Source organism: Homo sapiens, chromosome 12 (genome assembly GCF_000001405.40).
Source record: "Homo sapiens chromosome 12, GRCh38.p14 Primary Assembly".
Taxonomy (NCBI): Eukaryota; Metazoa; Chordata; class Mammalia; order Primates; family Hominidae; genus Homo; species Homo sapiens.
In genome coordinates, this window is record NC_000012.12 from 102,112,982 (window position 1) to 102,133,402 (window position 20,421).

At 38.2% G+C, this 20,421-nt stretch overlaps 2 protein-coding genes across 89 annotated transcripts in view, besides 2 other annotated features; one reads left to right on the top strand and one right to left on the bottom strand.

Moving 5' to 3' along the window:
* The window catches only part of NUP37 (nucleoporin 37), a 47,012-nt gene extending 39,879 nt beyond the window's left edge, over window positions 1-7,133 (bottom strand). For both annotated transcript variants that reach the window (NM_024057.4, XM_047429530.1), the window contains exons 1-2: window positions 7,069-7,133; window positions 5,382-5,602 (exon numbers count right to left, since the gene is read on the bottom strand). In NM_024057.4, the coding sequence (NP_076962.2) occupies window positions 5,382-5,537 (156 nt within the window). In that variant the 5' untranslated portion in view covers window positions 5,538-5,602; window positions 7,069-7,133. The remainder of the gene's footprint in view (window positions 1-5,381; window positions 5,603-7,068) is intronic.
* Window positions 6,934-7,003: an enhancer, noted in NCBI's record as "active region_6879". NCBI's record gives its function as "activates an Ori minimal core promoter by ATAC-STARR-seq in GM12878 lymphoblastoid cells {active_cell/tissue: GM12878}" and the evidence as "EXISTENCE:reporter gene assay evidence [ECO:0000049][PMID:35858748]".
* A 68-nt stretch (window positions 7,134-7,201) lies between the features above and the next one.
* PARPBP (PARP1 binding protein) overlaps window positions 7,202-20,421 on the top strand; it is a 77,338-nt gene continuing 64,118 nt past the window's right edge. For 72 of the 87 annotated variants that reach the window (XR_007063095.1, XR_007063096.1, XR_007063097.1 and 69 more), the window contains exons 1-2: window positions 7,202-7,305; window positions 10,905-11,060. Coding sequence is in view for 58 of the 87 variants with exons in the window: in NM_001319988.2 (NP_001306917.1) it covers window positions 10,908-11,060 (153 nt within the window). In the remaining 29 variants the exon portion in view is untranslated. Of the gene's footprint in view, window positions 7,306-7,397; window positions 7,511-10,904; window positions 11,061-14,165; window positions 14,319-20,421 lie in introns of those variants that run through there. The other 15 variants (XM_011538514.3, NM_001400876.1, NM_001400869.1 and 12 more) reach the window with 3 other exon arrangements.
* Window positions 8,048-8,605: an enhancer, noted in NCBI's record as "H3K27ac hESC enhancer chr12:102514807-102515364 (GRCh37/hg19 assembly coordinates)". NCBI's record gives its function as "activates a minimal SCP1, AML or CMV promoter by ChIP-STARR-seq in naive H9 embryonic stem cells {active_cell/tissue: H9 hESC(naive)}" and the evidence as "EXISTENCE:reporter gene assay evidence [ECO:0000049][PMID:30033119]".

Genomic DNA, 20,421 nt, shown 5'->3' on the forward strand with positions numbered 1-20,421 from the left:
TATCCAGTTCAGCCCTACTAAAATGATTTCAGTTTATCCTCACGGGAAGGTGAGAAAAAAAATCAACTTTAAAAGTCAAGCCATCTGTCGCTGGCAATGGAGACAATAACCTGAAAAGTTCTCCCATTACAACATTGCAAAAATTCAAATACAGACAAGCAAACGACTACCAAGGTATGCAGCTGTTATAAGGGTATCTGCCTACATGCAATGATTTAAAGCTTCAGTTTGCAAGAGAGAAGAGACAAATCCTAGTGCCTGCACAAGGAAGGATGCCAGATCAGAGATTTCTGCATAGATCCAGGGCCCGATTAAGGGGAAAGCAGGAAAAAACAGACAAACAAAAAGAAAATCCTGCCATGCAAAATACCTACCATGAGTAAGGGAAGGATACTTAGGGGGCTTCAAAAGAATTGCTAATGTTCCTTTTCTTAAACTAAGCAGCAGGTATACAGGGATCCATCTTATTACTCTTTATGCCTTTATGGATAACACATTTTTTATAAGCATTAAAATACTGCTCAGCACCATAGGAAAGGTAAAAAAGAAAATGATAAAAAAATTTTGCAATTTTAAAAATAAGTAAATCATCCTTCTGTTATTTAAATCAATACCTGAACTGGGTTTGAGACTAAAGAAGGCCAAATTTTCGCGACAAATTTGTCCAAGGAATCTTCTGTGCTAACTACAGTTTTCTTTATAAAAGTGTATGGTATTATAAAGTATCAGGGAAAAAATCCAGCAGGTGAAACTTGATATTTAATGAAATACGTATGTCTATATTGATAGGAATTACTTGAAGGCCTGATCTAAGCATTCCATTCACCCAGAATCTAAATGCAAAGTTTTATAATGTATACTCGAATGAAATCCAAGTAGATATACTGATTTTTCCAGGATAGCCTATGGGATCCCAGTAAAGTCATTTCACAAATATACTACACATCTTTCTCTGCATAATTCAGATACCCTTTGAAAATAACTTCAAATTTCAGGTGAACTTAAGAGTTAACAGCAAAAAGTTTTTCCACAAATGAAAGAAATACACTTATCAAGGAAAGAAAAACACTGTCAAATTTTACTACTTCGTAATTTGTGTGTATAATAGTTGTATAGCTAACAGCCAGATATGCCAAGACAGCAGCCACTAAACAATTTTAAAATAAGTTTAGGAGCCTAATCATAGCTGACTTCACAGTTTGGATTACATCTATTTTTCCAAACTTGACAAATCAGTCTCCTAAAAATGAAGTTTTTGCATGTAAATACACATCATCTTGCTACTGTAACAATATTGTTGACAATCAAGTCCTTTAATTTGTTACCCAAATCACATATGGAATTACTGGGTGGTCATGGGGATAAAGAAATCTCAGGGACTGTACAGCCTGGGCTTTTTGTTTTACCAGTGAAACCTGTTTTCCTGGCAGCACTGTTTGCCACTGAGCCAACTAAAAGGCCCGTGTGTGTGTGTGGTATAGGCAGAGACAAATGCTATTTTGGATTTAGTTTGGGGTATAAGCAGAATTGTATAGGCAGGAAATTAAGATACTTTGGAAAACTTGCTATAATACAAATGATTATACAAGGTTTCGGCATATTTGAGGTTGGGGCAAAGCCAGGTTGATGGAAGGGCTATTATAAGGGTTTGAAACTGGCAGGCCCTCCCACCACACCCATTTAAGGCCAAATACAAATTTCAGTTAGTCAAGACTGTGAAGTTTCTCTAGTTCAATTCTTTCCCCCCAATGCTTGAATCCCTAGGAGAGCATCTGAAAAAAAGAGTTTACACAACCCCTCTCTGAACACTTCCAGTGACAGGGAACTAGCTATTTCTTTGGGAAGTTTATTCAATTGGGGGATAGCTCTAATTATTAGAAGAGTTCTTAACGTTAAGCCAAAATCTGTTTCCATGTAAATTCTACTCATTATTCCACGTTCCATCTCTGGAACCACACCAAATCAGTCTAACTTAATGATGACAAATATCTGGCCATAGCTGATCTCCTCTAGGTGAAGACACACTAAGCAGCAGATTCAGCCTCAGCCTGAAAGCATTATAAGCAACAACTCTGTCCATTCAAATAGAGATGACAAATAACATAAAATCCATTTACCATTGAGTCTAATACCTCTTTCACAGTTTTAAACATTTAGATACTACCCTGAAATTTGTATTAAAATACATTATCTTCTCTGAATCATAATATACTGCTGAGAACTACAGAGTATTATTATTATATTAAAGATTACTGTCGATTTACAGAGGAAGATGCAGAGAGAACTGTGCTGTCTGATATGGTGGCCACTAGCCACACAGGACCTTATGAAGCACGTGAAATGTGGCTAGTTCTATTTGATATGTGTACACTTTAAAAAGTGTAAAATACATACCAGATTTCTAAGTCTATTCAAGGGGTCTTCATTAGTGAATTGAGGCCTCTAGTAGAACTTGGATGAGAACATTGATTTAGGCAAGCATATATGTTCATGCTCCTCTGCCCTTTAACAAAGGTTTTTATAGCAGTTTTCTTATTGCACTGCTTTATATGTAAATATTTCCTTAAGGATATGGTCCTTGCTTTTTTCATGTCTTGGCACCCAGTATGCACTTAATGAAAATTTGACAAATACACGACACCAGTTAACAGTACTATCATTCAGAAGCTCATATGTCCATCATAATCAAAGGGACAACATGAGATTCTGAAAAATGCTTTATTGAAATTCAAATTCACTATATCTACAACGTTTTCTAAACAGCCTTAAAATAAGGATTATCTTTCTGTCAGGAATGTGAAAATCTTTCCACTTAATTTACCTTTACTTAGTTTTCTCTCAAGACAAGAGGCATGAAACTGGGTGCAATGGAACTTGAAGGTTCTAGGACAACAGAATAGTAATGTTTAACAGTGTTTAGCTAGATAAAAAATAACTCCACAGAAAAGCAATAATTTATTTTGAAATGGACTTACTTAATTGTATTTCCAATGTCTGATGCAGAATATAATTTGTGTTTACTATTGTCCAAATTAATAAAAATCTAATTTTTTCCTTAGTAATTTGGGCACGAGACCTACATTGCTAATCTCACAGGTATGAGGGTAACTGAGACAATACATGTGACCATAAACTATAACAGAACACAAATGTTTATACTAGTTCTTTTTTCTCATGTTAGTCATTTTCCTTCTTTCTCCCAACTTCTCCCTCTCTCATCTTTGCCTCTCTTTTCCTAATTTGTTCTCCACTGACTTTCTCCCTCAACATTTCTTAATCATAAATGAGATAAACATTTTTCAGTGTTTGCGAATACAATCCTATGTTGTTATTAATTTTAAAAGTAATGAAGTAAAAATTAGTTTTACCTGTAGGAGGCTGCTTTACTCTTTTGTACATTGGTGGCTTGCATTAGAGAAATGGTTTTTCCTCAGTCTTTTTCAAGTACGTAACATTGTCTTAATCATATGACTTTTTATGATCCTAAACCATGTCCATGTAAGTCAGGCTAGGGTCATATTTAGTCTAAAAGCTATTAATTTCTACTCCCACCCAAACAGACAGTACGAAATAGGCTAGGAGCTGTCATATTCTACTCAGACAGCAACAAACTGAAACTTTCAATTCACACTTCCTCTTAAATATGACTATATTCCAATTTGTAAAGCTTTATATATTCATTGTGCTATAAAATGCCAAATTGCATTTTTGATGTCAGAATACTGTAAGATACAGAATTGCCGCTGGGCATGGTGGCTCACGCCTGTAATCCCAGTACTTTGGGAGGCTGAGGCGGGCGGATCACGAGGTCAGTTCAAGACCAGCCTGACCAACATGGTGAAACCCCGTCTCTACTAAAGATACAAAAAAGTTAGCTGGGCATGGTGGCACGTGCCTGTAATTCGAGCTACTCAGGAGGCTGAGGCAGGATAATTGCTTGACCTCGGGAGGCAGAGGTTGCAGTGAGCAGAGATCGCACCACTGCACTCCAGCCTGGATGACAGAGCGAGACTCCGTCTCAAAACAAAACAAAACAAAAACAGAATTGCCTTCTCAGTAAAGGAGGAAATAACATTTATAATAACTATCACTTTAGTGATAGTTATTTTAAATCTTTGAAAATTGGACACTTCCAAATTACCGTGCTCATTATAATTTGAGAAATACGGTTCTATTAATAATATTCTGCTAGGCCAGGCAGGGTGGCTCACACCTGTAATCCCAGCACTTGGGAGGCCGAGGTAGGCAAATGACTTGAGGTCAGGAGTTCGAGACCAGTCTGGCCAACATCATGAAACCCCCTACTAAAAATACAAAAATTAGCTGGGTGTGGTGGTGCATGCCTGTAATCCCAGCTACTTGGGAGGCTGAGGCAGGAGAATCAACTGAACCCGGGAGATGAAGGTTATAGTGAGCCGAGGTTGACCTCCAGCCTGGGCGACCAAGCAAAACTCTGTCTGAAAAAAAAAAATAAAAATAATAATAATACTCTGATAGACAAAGGATTAACCAGATAGTCCTGAGGGTTGAACCTTCATTGTTCCAAGTCTCTCTTACATGTAAAACTAGCTTTCCTCTGGGAAAACATGGTTTATGTTCACCACAAAGCAATCTTACTTTGGTGATTAAACCTGAGAGTGTTACCACTGCTCGTATCAATGACAACTAAAACATACATATGGATTACAATGTTGTCAGATGCCCTCTTGGAATTTTTATTTAGTATATTTACATATACTAAAATTCAAGCATTAGTTTCCTCATGTTTACAGGAGATGCTAAATATCTTATTCAAGGTCTCATAGCTAGTAAGAAGTAAGTAAAGCAGGAGTAAACATGTAGGCATTCCAGTTCTAGAATTCATGCTCTTAATGGCTATGCTTAACTGCCTGCTCAATTAATATGACTCCATATTCTGCATACATTAGATGCACAAAAAGTATGACAGCATACTAATAGGAAAGCTGAATATTATAAAAGCTATAAAATCTCCTGGAAGATTGTTTTTTGGGCTCTCAACATTAGCTGGTTTTGTATGTCAAAGCAGGATGTAGAAAAACCGTAATTAATTGGATCTCATTTATATTGTTTTTTTCCTGTACATACCAATGTTCAGTTAATCATAGCCTTCACTTATCAGAATATTCCATTAATGATCATGAGGCAAAAGTGAAGCCTCATACCATTCTTTTTCACTATCTATATAATGTTTACATAAATCTCAGGCACATATAACTGGGAACATCTTTCTCTATGGATCTTATCTTTTTTTTTTTTAACATTCAAACTCAATATACTTTCAAAGTTTAGATTTGGTTTGTGTAAGTTCTCTTAGTAGTGAAATATGTTCACTGTCATTCGGTGCAGTTTTGTAGACTAACCTGAAACGTACACGTGCCAATGACCACATAATTATTGCCACCATATGCAATTAGGTTTCCTGAATCCCCATTCTCAAAGGGATTAAATTCTACCACATGCACATAATCTTCACAATCCACAGTGTAGGCAGCATTTCTTGAGGCATCTTGCTTCATCTTGTATGTCAAAATTCAAGCAGTTGTGAAAATTAAATAGCCTTCTACTGGACAAGGTCACGAAACTGTGGATTAGAGCACAGGTACAATTACAATGGTCAATATGTTAGTCATTCAGCAAATGCATCAAAATAAGGTTGTGGTGTTACAATGAGACAGAAAGCTCAAAAGAAACATTTAAAGTACTTATCAAGGGACAGAAACTGCAGGAAAAATATTAAATCTAGTTATTAATGGTTCCACATTTGCTCCACAGCTCTTTCCCATATCTGTGATTCTAGCAGACAATAACACTGCAAAGTTCTGTTTAGATTATCTAAAACAAATAGTATTTCATCTGAAGATGGAATCATTTTAACAGCAAATGTTAATAAAAATTAATAACTTTTATGAACCACTATTTGTAGGTACCATATTAAGCATTTTACTGACATGATCACATCTGGTATCTGTACAAATCTAAAGGCAGGTACTACCTCTGGTCTCCATTTTGTAGATGGAGAAACTGAGGCTTCAGTAGGTTAACTAACTTGCCAAGCTCATAAGCAGGGCCAGGATTTGGAAGACTTCATTGTGTGTGGAGAACCAGCGCTAATGAAGAAAAAAACAGCCTCCTGGCTTGAAGGAGACCACAGTTTAGGGATAGTTATGACTCAACGTGAAAAGGGCTATAATATAAACAGATAGAAAATACAGGATCTGTTGTTAAGGAGTACCAAAATGTGTGATATAAAAATAATGTTCAGGGGGTTGGGCGGAGGGAGAGCATCAGGATAAATAGCTAATGCATGTGGAGCTTAATACCTAGGTGATGGGTGTGCAAACCACCATAGCACACGTTTTACCTTTGTAATAAACCTGCACGTCCCGCACACGTATCCCGGAACTTAAAAATTAAAATAATAATATTCTTAAAACTAGGCAGAAGACCTTAACCTGTCAGGGACTAGTGTGCATTCTGGAAGTAGCATTCCCACATGAGAATTATGGGTTTTAGAGTTTTTGGTTTTTTAAAAAATTCGACACAAGGGTTGTCCTGAAAACAGCTGGACTCAGTAACAAACATATCAAGCACCTTAAGAGTATGTACTGAGAATGAGTCCCACCTCGAGACGCTTATAAACTAGTAACTTTAGGAATGGACATCAGGGACTGGAGACTTTTGAAGGGTGACCAGCAAGTGTTATGGACACGGAGACAGAGAGGTATAGAAGTGCAAGAGATTCGAGGTCACGAAATTGTTCCGTCCCTACACCTACTGCTCATTAAAGCAGTGGCCGGGGCCTCACCGTACACGTTGGACAGGACTTGCCCCTGTAAAACTACAACGGCAGAGAAGAAGGGAGGGAACAAGATAAGTCTCTGCAATGAGCGCCGACACCTCTCCCCGGGCCAGGCGAGTTCCTCAAGACCCCGCTCCCACCTCCCGGGGCCCGAAGTGGGAAGGAAGAACTCCTGGGAATAGAGTGGCAAGGCTGGGCGGCCGGCAGAAAAGCATCCCGGCCTCTCGGGCTCCCAGCTCGATACGCACCGCAGAGCGCCAGGAACCGACCAGAGGCAGGCTGGTCTTCCTTGGGGGCTGCCGCGACGCGCTGTGGCTCTGCTTCCGGGTCGGAGGGCGAGCGCAGCGATTGGCTCCCGGGGCCTCCCGCGAGGTTTGAACTGTATTCAGCGGCGACAGCGGCGACTGCGGCGGCCGCGGGAGGGCATCCCGTTGGGGATCCTTCCGCACACTGAAGAGTACGTCTTCGGGTCTACCCCTAATCACGTAAGTCTCGCGTCTGCCCTACCTGCCCTGTCGCATTTTTAAGTGGTGATTCAGGCTGTGGCTTTTGAGGGTGTTTTGCACTGTAATACCTCGGTCGTAGCAAAGTGCCGTGGGACCGAAGTATTATGGTGCAGTGACTTGACGCTCGAGCCTGGTTGGGCCTGGGGGCTGTAGGCGGAGTTCACAGTATCTAGCGATGGAGCTGGTAGGTCCTGAGGGTTCGTCTGCAGCTTGGAAGACAGGCCCGTAGAGGCCTGCTTAACTTCCATTAGTTAGGCAGGAAACCTGGGTTCTAGTCCCACTATGTACACGGACTCCAATTCCTCAACTTTCTCCTACTCCTGATTAGTTACAGCCTCCCAAGGAACCTTTGGGACTTGCACTCGAACACTGATAATGATGTTGAGTGCAATTTTTAAATTGAGCACCTACTAAATGCCTGGCACTAGGTGGGTTATGTACTTGTTTCACTAACGTCTCATTCTGTGAGGTAGGAATTCCCTTCCTGGTTTTGCAGGTGAAGAAACTTATGCTCATTAGAGATTTTAAATACCGAAGGACTACAGGTCATAAAGGGGGAGCCTGGAAGTGATATCTGACTCGGAAGTGTAGTTCTTTCAACCATTTCACACTGCCTGCCCAGTGACAATTTTCTGTCTCACAGTTTTTGCTCTAGAGCAACTTGGAATCCAATTTTTTAAAAACAAGTGTTATCGCTGCTGCCTTTGGCTACTGTTTTTTTGTATAGTGCAGCCTGCCATTCAGAGTGCTTGCATATTTATTGTCTCATTGACTTCTCACAAGGGACTGGAAGGCAAGTATTTCTGTGTGATGATGCCTCCACCTAGGAACCACGTGTAAGGCTTATGGCATAGGCTCCCACAGCCAGCTAGCTACAGGAAGAGCTGGGACTAGACCAGGGGTTGGCAAACTGGCTGTGCTGCCTGTTTTTGTGCAGCCAGCTCCTGAGCTAAGAAGGAGTGTTACGTGTTTATATGGTTGGGGGAAAAAATGAAAAGAATAATGTTTTGTGATGTGTAAAAATTACATGAAATTCAAATTTCAGTGTCCATAAAAAAAGTTTTATTGGAGCACAGCTATACTCATTTGTTTGTTTATGTATGTCCATGGCTATTTTCACACTAGAAGGTCAAAGTGAGTAGTTGTGCATGCCTCAAATATTTACTGTTTGTTCCTTTAGAAAAAATTAGCTGATCCCTGAATGAGACTCTTGGTTTTCTGTCACCATAGTAATGCTCTTTTTTTTTTTTTTTTTTTTTTTTTTAAGACAGAGTCTCACTCTGTCACCTAGGCTGGAGTGCAGTAGTGCTATCTTGGCTCACTGCAACTTCCGCCTCCCTGGTTCAAGCGATTCTCCTGTCTCAGCCTCCCAAGTAGCTGGGGTTAGAGGCACACACCACCACACCCAGCTAATTTTTAGTAGACAGGGTTTCACCATGTTGGCCAGGTTGGTCTCGAACTCCTAACCTTAGGTGAGCCTCGGCTTCCCAAAGTGCTGGGATTACAAGTGTGAACCACCATGCCCAGGCAATGCTCTTTTACTTTTAACTCAAAACAACTTAGAAACTCATAATGCATGATAATAGCTAATGTGCTTTTATACATGCCAGGCACTGTTCTAAAAGCTTTACTTGTGTTTATGTCGTTGACTTGTCATAAAACCCTATGGGATAGGGTTTTCATTTTCATTATGAGGAAGCTGAGGCAGGGAAAGGTGATGTAACTTGGCCAAGATCTCGCAGCCAGTAAGTGGTGGAGCCACATTTCAGAATGGCCTAATTCCCAAGTGAGTCTTCATTCATAGCAATCAAATCTCATAATACTACCTTTAAATAATACCAGTAAGTAATTTACTCCTAAAAATGTATTTCAGGCAAAGTGACCATGTCACTGAAGCTGACAGTTCTTCACTTTCTTTTTTCTTTCAAGAGATGAGGGTGATTTTTTGAAGAGAAATACAATTCTTAGCTATTTACTAGGATTTGCATTTATGTAAATAATTAATCTCTAATCTTCTACCTGTATCTTTAAGTTGCATCATAGATTGTGTCTATAATTTAATTATATTGCAAGTGGCATGTATCTTTGCTCTTGATTATACAAACCAAAGTAAACATCTAGGATTCTGTTTATGCCACATAAAAATAGAAGAAAAGGATAGCAGAAGGAGTCAGGAAATGGAATAAGTACAGGAAAATACCCAAAATAAGATGATGGGCATGTGAGTATGTTGAGACTTGAGTACTTAAAGTAGGAAAAAAACTTTTAGCAGGCATGTCTGTAAACTCAGAGAAAGGAATTGGATGCCTTATATAGTCTTGGGTATATGAAACATTGGCACTACCTCAAATTATTTTGAAAGGCTTTTGTGTGCATCAGGAGAAGTTACTTAACATGATGCTTTAAGAACACAGCTTATAGAGTTAGACATATTAAGTTTATGCTGTTTGTCCACTTACAAGCTGAGTGACGTGGAGGTTATTAGGTAAAATAAGGATAATAACAGACCTGTCTTATTGGACACTTATGACAGTCGAGTGAGGTAATCAATATTAAGCTTTTGAAAAGTATCTCCACCAAGTTAGCTCCTAAATATTAGTTATTTTATTGGTTATGTAGTACGGTGTAACAAACCATTTCAAAAGTTAAGGTTTTAAAATAACCATTTCCTTCTGATTCTGTGGATCAGCAGTTTGGGTGGGACACTGCTTGGTGATACTCTAGTGGTCATACAGGACACAATTCCTCCTGTTGTAATAGGTGGTGACAACACATGTGAAATGTCTACCAGGGAAGCTTATTAGAGACTTAATGCCCAGGGTTTTTATTGGGGGCTAAATGCAAAGGCATCCACTGTCTGACATGTACCAAAATTCCAGACTCGCAAGTGTTTAGCATAAACTATATTGTTTGTATGAACAGTTTAGCACAGTGAACCACTCTTACTGGAAACACTCCTGAAATCTAAGCTCCCAAACTGGACTCCAGCTTCAAAGGAGAGCATTCAGGCCTATTGTATTAGTACTTCTGCACACACCACTTAAGGCCTAAGCTCAGAACTCCCACAGCGTCATTCTTGCCACATTCTATTGGTTAAATCAAGTCACAAGCCTGGTCCAGATTCAAAAGGGTAGAAAAATAGGCCACCTCTTTTGGGACAACGTAGGATGGGAGGAAATTGGCTTTTTAGGTTTTTTTTTTTTTTTCCCAATTTATCAGACTTATTACCTATCTCAAAACAAATATATATATTTAAATACAGCTTTAATTAGGTATATTTGTAATTATAAGTTTGCAGTAAATTTGCATGTCTGTTTTTGTGTGAATTTTCAGAATTGAAGGCTACATTTTGTTCTTTCAGAAGGTTTGGCTTAAGAAACCAAAGGGGAGGGAAATATGATTGCGCAGAAATTGTATTATTTTGTTTTCCTAAATTTAATTAAAAGCAATCTTGGTAAATATGAAATGACCTCTCATTCACTATATGTTTTTCTCTATCTGTGCTTGCCTATACATGTTAAATGTTAATTTCAGGTTAACATAAGATACTTTAACTTTGTATTCTGTCCTACTTTAAGATAATGGCTGTGTTTAATCAGAAGTCTGTCTCGGATATGATTAAAGAGTTTCGAAAAAATTGGCGTGCTCTTTGTAACTCTGAGAGAACTACTCTATGTGGTGCAGACTCCATGCTCTTGGCATTGCAGCTTTCTATGGCGGAGAACAACAAACAGGTTGGTAAACTATATTTGGGTTAACTTGTTTTTTTAAAGCAAAATTTCATTGCTGCCCATTTGAATAAACTTAAGCTTAAGAATATTAATTTCTTTACATTATGTGCCCTTCTGTGATAATACACCATTTTCACAAATGCCTCTGTGTATCTGTGTCAGAATGTTATGATAGAATTTGAAATGAATTATTTCAAAATTAAGCTCTTATGTATGGTTATACACGGGACATGCATATTTGATGTTTAATAGGAAGATTTAGGATAAACATGTAACTATTATTATTGTGGTCAAATTATTTTTATTTAATAAGACTTTTTTCATTCCCTAAACTTTTAAAAACTACTGGCTCTTGTACCCCAATCCTGGAAATTCTTCCAATCTGCACCGGGATACTGGAAACTGCCTTTAAAAAATTTCCACAAAGTGATTCTTACTTAGGTAGCTTGAGCCAAACTAGCGTTTGGATTTAAGCCGTAGATTAAGGGTTAGAGGTGTTCAGATGAGAGAAGGATGAATGTAGGATAGAGTGGTAAGGAAAGGCTTTGTGATATTAGATAGATTTTAGATAAAGGAAGAGAAGGCTGTAGAGGAGGTATGATGAGGAAAGTCAGTTCAGAAGAAGGGTTCAGGGGAATCAAAGTCATGGTATGAACTTGGCAAAGATACTGGCTTGACTAGAGAAGAGGATTTTTGAAGGGTAGAATTAGCTTCAATGGGTCTGTTGGGCTAGATATTGAAATGACATTCTGATGAGTTATTTTAATTTTATATGTCAGTAGTTTCCAGATTTTTAGATTCCATAGACAGTAAAATTTCTAAAAAATTATTAGACACTGACAGATTTTAACCATTTCTCATTTTTGCAAATAAGGCCATTGAGAAAAAATAGTTACTATATACTATGATCATCATTTTGAAAAAGGAAGAATATTTTAACACTTAAAAATTAAAAAGTATAAAATCTTAAAACAGGGATAGTGTTTTCTACCTGTGAATAGTTGGCAGTTTTGCATATTTTAAACAATGCATGTTAAGATAAATTTTGAATCTCGAAAACAATGACAAAATGTTATTTTATTTTATGTAGTCAGTCATTTTTTGAACAAATATTGAGTTTTTACTGTGTGTTAGACATCATTGTAAAAATTGGGAATACAGTAATGAAAGAAGTCACTTCTTATGGAGTGAACCTTCTAGGGAGAGATAGCTAGTACTGTAAGATATTTAGTCTTTTAGGACATAATAAATGCTATTAATAATAGTGTTATTAATATGTACATAATAAACATACAGAAAACAATAAAACATGCGACTAAGGAATATGCAGATTTTGGGGTGAAAGGGTTGTTGGAATTTGAAATAGGGTGGTCAGGGAAGGCCTCACCTGGAAAGTACCATTTGAGCAAAGATTTGAAACAGGGGAGGGCATTAGCCATGGGGATTTTTATGGGAAGGGACTACCGCAGGCAAAGGGAGGAGCAGGTGTAGTGGCCCTGAGGTGGCTCTATGCCTGGATGTTCCAGGAACAGTAAAAAGGCCAATACAGCTGTCTGAATAAATGTTAATCTCCTTCCCTCCACTAATTACTTTTTTCTCTTTTTCTATTTTTGAGCTTCTACTATAAGCCAGGCATTGTGATATATGTTGGGGTTAAAACGGTGAGCAAAACTAGACTTGACTCCTGCCATCATGAAACATATTACCTAGTAGATAAGGCAGACATTATGTAGAGGATCATACAAATACATGTAAACTAATAGCCATAAGAAGAATATGATGCTCAGACACCAGATAATTGACTTCGTCAAAGAGATCAAGCTGAGCCCCTCAGTTGTACTCTTTGGTCTAGAGGCTCTTTTTTACCCTCTCCAGGGAATGAACCTTCAATTTTTTGCCAAGTTAGATGATTATTCTCCCCTACCTCAACAGAAATTAATTATTAGGCAAAAATCAAAGCAAAGATTACCCAGAGAGATAAGCACAATACTGGAATAACTTCTAGAATCACTTCATTGGCAAATCTCTTCACCAATGCCTTCCACTGGGCAGATTGTTTTTCTAGGAGACATATTAAGAGTGTTGCCTTTCAAAGGCTTTGGCTTTATGTGGCGGGGTGAGCAGAAAGGGTTCCTGATTCAGCTTTCTACCTTTTTTTTGGACTCTCCTTTGTCTTTCAAAATTTGCGCTCAGGGTTTATAAAAACTAGGTTCTAGAGTGCCAGGGAGTAGTAGATGCCTTGAAACAAACACAAGCCCCACCTTTTGCTTACCCTTGTATATTGGCACTTTCTCTTTGTTTTTGACCTTTTGTAGTTTCTCTTTTATAGACTATTTAGTCATGCTTTAAAAAAGTTTTTCTATTTTCTACTGTAGTTTTAGGTGTTCTGTACCAGGAAGTTTTTCTGCAAATCAAGTTAGCCATATTGCACTGTTGGTGTGTCTGTTTTAAAGTTGTAACAGATGGGGCCGGGTGCTGTGGCTCACGCCTGTAATCCCATCACTTTGGGAGACTGAGGCCGGCAGATCACATGAGGTCAGGAGTTCGAGTCCAGCCTGGCCAACTTGGTGAAACCTTGTCTCTATTAAAAATTAAAAAATTAGCTGGGCGTAGTGGTAGGCGCCTGTAGTCCCAGCTACTCGGGAGGCTGAGGCAGGATTATCACTTGAACCCAGGAGGCAGAGGTTGCAGTGAGGCACTGCACTCCAGTCTGGCCGACAGAGCGAGACTCTACCTCAAAAATAAATAAATAAAATAAAATTATAACAGTATCAGCTCTTTCTGTATCTTGTTTTTTTCCATCCAACATTATTTTCAAGATCTTTTCAGGTAGTGATAGACAGAAAAGTTAATCTAATTTATTCATTTTATCACTCTCACATGTTCCTTTAATATGACTGCCATATTCTATTTATTGGTGGATCTTTAGACTGAAGTTCTTTTGTGTTATGAATAGTTTTGCCTTGAAATGAAATGTTTGCACTGAGCAAGAGGTTTTTTAGGTTCCTTATTTAAGTAGTTACATGATAGACACATTTTTATCTTACACGTGGCAGTCAGAATTTACATTTATGGGCTAGACACACTGACTCATACCTGTAATTGCAGCACTCTGAGAGTCCATGATGGGCAGATCACTTAAGCCCAGAAGTTCAAGACCAGCCTGGGCAACATGGCGAAACCTCGTCTCTACAAAAAAATACAAAAATTAGCTGGGTGTGGTGGAGTGTGCCTGTAGTCTCAGCTACTTGGGAGACTGAGGTGAGATCACTTGAGTCTGGGAGGTTGAGGCTTGCTGTGAGCCAAGATCACTCCAGTGCACTCTAGCCTGGGCAACAAAACGAGAACCTATCTCAAAAAAAGAAAAAAAAAAAAGAAATTACATTTATGTCATCAATGGAAGAGAGTGCCATTTTTTTATCCCTCTTTCCATATTAGATGTCAGAGTTTATTAGAAAAGATTAAAAAATGGTATTTCATTTTATTTTTTTGGACAGCTACCATGTTTAAAAATTTGTTTAAATGCTTATTTGATCATTTGGTATCTTTCTTTTTCATAGTAGATTCATTTTTAATAATGAAATAAACTAGAAATATTCTACATGTATATGACCTGGAGGTTGGTTCTATATAGCATTGTAAACCACCAGTAGAATAGTGTGCAATAATTAAATAGCTTGGGTACATGTACATTTATTGACATGGAAAAATATTCAAAATATATTGTTAATAAAACAGAGCAGTTTGTATTATGGCTAAGAGTAAATGCTAGGGAGTCAGTTGGCTTGGGTTCACAGCCTAATTCAGCCTTTTGACTGAGTGGCCTTAGACAAATCACTTAATTTTTAAAAAAAATTAGTTTTTTAAATTGACAAAAAATTGTATTTATTTATCATGTACAATATATTTTGAAATATGTATACATTGTGAAATGGCTTAACTGAGCAAATTAATATGCATTACCTCACATTCTTAACATTTTTGTGGTGATAACAATTAAAATGTATTCTCTGAACAGTTTTCAAGGATACAACAGTGTTATTAACTAGCAACACCATGTTGTACAATAGATCTCTTGAAATTATTCCTCCTAACAGAAACTGTATATACTTTGATGAGTATCTCCCCATCCACCCCACCCACTGTGTCCCCACATCCCCTAGTAACCATCATTGTCTTTCTACTTCTATAAGTTCACCTCTTTTGTTTTTTTGATGGAGTCTCACTCTGTCTCCCATGCTGGAGTGCAGTGGTGCAATCTCAGCTCACTGCAAGCTCCCCCTCCCGGGTTCACGCCATTTTTCTGCCTCTGCCTCCCTAGTAGCTGGGACTGCAGGCACCCGCCACCACACCCGGCTAATTTTTTGTATTTTTAGTAAAGACGGGGTTTCACCGTGTTAGCCAGGATGGTCTCGATTTCCTGACCTCGTGATCTGCCCACCTCGGCCTCCCAAAGTGCTGGGATTACAGGCATGAGCCACCGTGCCCGGCCTGTAAGTTCAACTTTTTAACACACCACTTGTAAGTGAGATTATGTGGTGTTTGTCTTTCTATGCCTGTCTTACTTTCCTTAATATAATGTTTTCCAGGTACATCCATGTTGTTACAAATGACAGGATTTCTCTCTTTTATGGGGCTGAATAGCATTCCATTGTGTATATATACCACATTTTCTATCCATTCATCCATTGATGGATACTTAGGTTGATTCCATATCTTGGCTATTGTGAACAATGCAGCAATGGCCATAGGAGTCCTGATCTCTCTTCACTACTGATTTCATTTCCTTTGGATATATACCCAGTATTGGGATTGCAGGATCATATGGTAGTTTTATTTTTTGAGAAACTTTCATACTGTAATGCTTATACTAATTACATTTCCACCAACAGTATACAAAGGATTCCCTTTTCTTCACATTTTTTTTTAACACTTTTATCTTTTCAATAATGGCCATTCTAACAGGTCATAATTTATTTTGGTTTCCATTTGCATTTTTCTGATGATTAGTAATGTTGAGCATTTTTTATATACCTCTTGGCAATTTGTGTGTCTTCTTTTTGGAAATGTCTATTCAGATCCTTTGTCCAATTCTTAAAAAACGATTATTTTTAAAATTCATTTTATTATTTAGAGACAGAGTCTCAATATGTTGCCCAGGCTGTACTTGGACTCCTAGGCTCAAGAATTCTCCTGCCTCAACCTCTGAAGTAATTGAGACTGTGGGCATACGCCACTGCATCCTGCTCTTTTGCCCATTTTTTTTTTAATGGGGTTGTTTTCTTATTGAGTTTCTTATATATTTTGGATATTAACCTTTTATCTGATACATGATTTGGATATATTTTCTCCCATTCCATAGGTTGTCTCTTCACTCTGCTGATTGTTTCCTTGGCTGTGCAGAAAGTTTTTAGTTTGATATAATCCCATTCATGTATTTTTGCTTTTGTTTTCTGTGCTTCTGGGTTTATGTCCAAAAAACCATTCCCCAGACCAATGTCATGGAGTTTTTCCTCTGTTTTTTTCTAGGACTTTTGCAGTTTCAAATGTTAAATTTAAGCCTTTAATACATTTTGATATTCATTCTTCTAGCCAATGAGCCTGGAATGTTTTTCCATTTGTTTGTACCTTCTCTGATTTCTTTGAGCAGTGTTTTGTAGTTTTCATTGTAGAGATCTTTCACCTCCCTGGTTGACTGTATTTCCAGGTATTTTATTCTTTTTATGGCAATTGTGAATGAGGTTGCATTCCTGATTTGCCTCTAGACTTGACTACTGCCCAAAGCAATTTATATATTTAATGCTAATCCTGTCAAACTTCCAGTGACATTCTTTGCAGAGCTAGAAAAAGCTCTTTTAAAATTCCTATGGAACCCAAAAAGACCCCAAATAGCTAAGGCTATCCTAAGCAAAAAGAAGAAAGCAGGTGGTATCATGCTACCTGACTTCAAACTGTATTAAAGGGCTACAGTAACCAAAACAGCATGGTATTGGTAGAAAAACAGACACATAGACCAATGGAACAGAATACAGAGCCCAGAAATAAGACCACACACCAACAACCATCTGATCTTCAACAAAGCTGATGAAAACAAGCAATGGGGAAAGGATTCCCTATTCAATAAATAGTGCTGGGATAACTGGCTAACCATGTGCAGAAGATTGAAACCGGACCTCTTCCTTAAACTACATACAAAAATCAACTCAAGATGAGGGACTTACATATAAAACCCAAAACTGGAAAAACCCTGGAAGACAACCTAGGCAATACCATTCTGGACACAGGCATGGGCAACGATTTCATGATGAAGATGCCAAAAGCAATTGCAACAAAAGCAAAAATTGACAAATGGGATCTAATTAAACTAGAGAGCTTCTACACAGCAAACAAAACTATCAACAGAGTAAACAGACAACCTACAGCATAGGAGAAAATTTTTGCAAACTATACATCTGACAAAGGTCTGATATCTAGTATCTATAAAGAACTTAGACAGATTTACAAGAAAAAATCCCATTAAGAAGTAGGCAAAAAGCTGGGCATGGTGGCTTACTCATGTAATCTGAGTACTTTGGGAGGCTGAGGCAGGCGGATCACTTGAGGTCAGGAGTTGAAGACCAGCCTGGGCAACATGGTGAAACCCCATCTCTACTAGAAATACAAAACATTAGCCGGGCATGGGGGCAGACGCCTGTAATCCCAGCTACTCGGGAGACTGAGGCAGGAGAATCACTTGAACCTGGGAGGCAGAGGTTGCAGTGAGCTGAGATCACACCACTGCACCACAGCCCAGGCAACAAGAGTGAAACACCATCTCAGAAAAAAAAAAACCTAAAAAAAAGAAGTGGGTAAAGGACATGAACAGACACTTTTCAAAAGAAGACATACATGTGGCCAACAAGCATATGAAAAAAAGCTCAACATCACTGATCATTAAAAATTGCAAGTCAAAACCACAATAAGATATCATCTCACACCAGCAGAATGGCTATAATTAAAAAATCAAAAAGTAACAGTGGCTCACGCCTATAATCCCAGCACTTTGGGAGGCCAAGGTGGGTGGATCACTTGAGGTCAGGATTTTGAGACCAACCTGGCCAACATGGTGAAACCCCATCTCTACTAAAATTACAAAAATTAGCCGGGTGTGGTGGCATGCACCTGTATTCCCAGCCACTTGGGAGGCTGAGGCATTAGAATCACTTGAACCCGAGAGGCAGAGATTGCAGTAAGCTGAGATTACACCACTGCACTCCAGCCTGTGTGATGGAGCGAGACTCTGTCTCAAAAGAAAAAACAAAAGAGGTACTGGCAAGGCTGTGGAGAAGAAGGAACATTTATACACTGTTGGGGGAGTGTAAATTAGTTCAACCATTGTGTAAAGCAGTGTGGAGATTCCTTGAAGACCTAAAAACAGAACTACCATTTGACCCAGCAATCCCATTATTGGGTATATATCCAAAGGAATATAAATCATTCTATCATAAAGACACATGCATGTGTAGGTTTATTGCAGTGCTATTGACAGAAGCAAAGATTTGGAATCAACCTAAATGGCCATTAATGATAGACTGGATAAAGAAAATGTGGTACATATACATCATGGAATACTCTACAGCCGTAAAAAAGAACGAGATCATGTCCTTTGCAGGAAAAGGAACTAGAGACCATTATCCTTAGCAAACTAATGCAGGAACAGAAAACCAGATACCACATGTTCTCACTTATAAGTGGGAGCTAAATGATGAGAACAAATGGACACATAGAGGGAAATAACAGGTACTGGGGCCTACTGAAGGGTGACGGGTGGGAGGAGGGAGAGGATCAGGAAGAATAACTAATGGGCACTTGGCTTAATACCGGGGTGACAAAATAATCTGTACAGCTGGGCGCTGTGGCTAATGCCTGTAATCCCAGCACTTTGGGAGGCTGAGGCAGGCAGATGGCCTGAGGTCGGGAGTTTGAGACCAGCCTGGCCAACATGGTGAAACCCCATCTCTACTAAAAATACACAAATTAGCCAGGCCATGGTGGCATGTGCCTGTAATCCCAGCTACTTGAGAGGCTGAGGTGGGAGAATCACTTGAACCCAGGAGGTGGAGGTTGCAGTAAGCTGAAGTCACGCCATTGCGTTCCAGTCTGGGGGATAGCGACAGAGCGAGACCCTGTCTCAAAAAAAAAAAAAAAGAATCTGTACAACAAACCCCTATGACATGAATTTACCTGTGTAACAAACCTGCACATATACCCCTGAACTTAAAAGTTCAAAAGAAAAAAATCCATTTTGAGTTGATTTTTGTAAAAGGGATAAGGGTCTAATTTCATTTTTCTGCAGGTAGATACCCAGTTGTCCAACATTTATTGATTAGACTGTTCTTTCCCCATTAGGTGTTTTTTGTATCTTTTTTCAAAACCAATTGCCTGTAAATTTGTGGATATATATCTTGGTTCTCAATTCTGTTCCACTGGTCTATCCGTATGTTTTTATGCTAGTACTATGCTATTTGGATTACCATAGTTTTGTAGTATAGTTTGAAGTTAGGTAGTGTGATGCCTCCAGCTTTGTTCATTTTGCTCAAGATTGTTTTTGCTGTTTGGGGTCTGTTGTAGTTCCATATAAATTTTAAAATTGTTTTTTCTATTTCTGTCAAAAATGGCACTGGAATTTTGATAGGAATAGCATTGAATCTGTATATTGCTTTGGATAATATGGACATTTTAACAATATTAATTCTTCCAGTTCATCAATATGGGATAACTTTCCGTATACTTGTGTCTTCTTTAATTTCTTTTATCCATGTTTTATAGTTTTCAGTGTGCAGATCTTTCATCTTCTTGGTTAAATTTATTTGTAAAAATTTTTTGTTTTTATAGCTATTGTAAATGGGATTGTTTTCTGGATTACTTTTTCAGATTGTTTTTAGTGCATTGAAATGATACTGATTTTTGTATTTTGATTTTTGTATCTTGCCACTTTACACAATTTGTTTATTCTTACAGTTTTTGGTGGCGTCTTTATGGTTTTCTGTATATAAGAACATGTTATCTGTAAACAGGAACATTTTCACTTATTTCTTTCCAATTTGGATGCCTTTTGTTTCTTTTTCTTACCTAACCACTCTGGCTACACCTTCTAGTACTATGTTGAATAGAAGTGGGAAGAGTGAGCATCCTTGTCTTGTTCCTGATCTTAAAGGGAAATCTTTCAACTTTTTCACTATTGAGTATGATGTTAGCTGTGAGTTTGTCATATATGGCCTTTCTCATGTTGAAGTATTTTTTTATATCTAATGTGTTGACAATTATTATAATGAGAGGATATTTAATTTTGTCAGATGTTTTTTTCTGTGTCTTTAGAGATGAT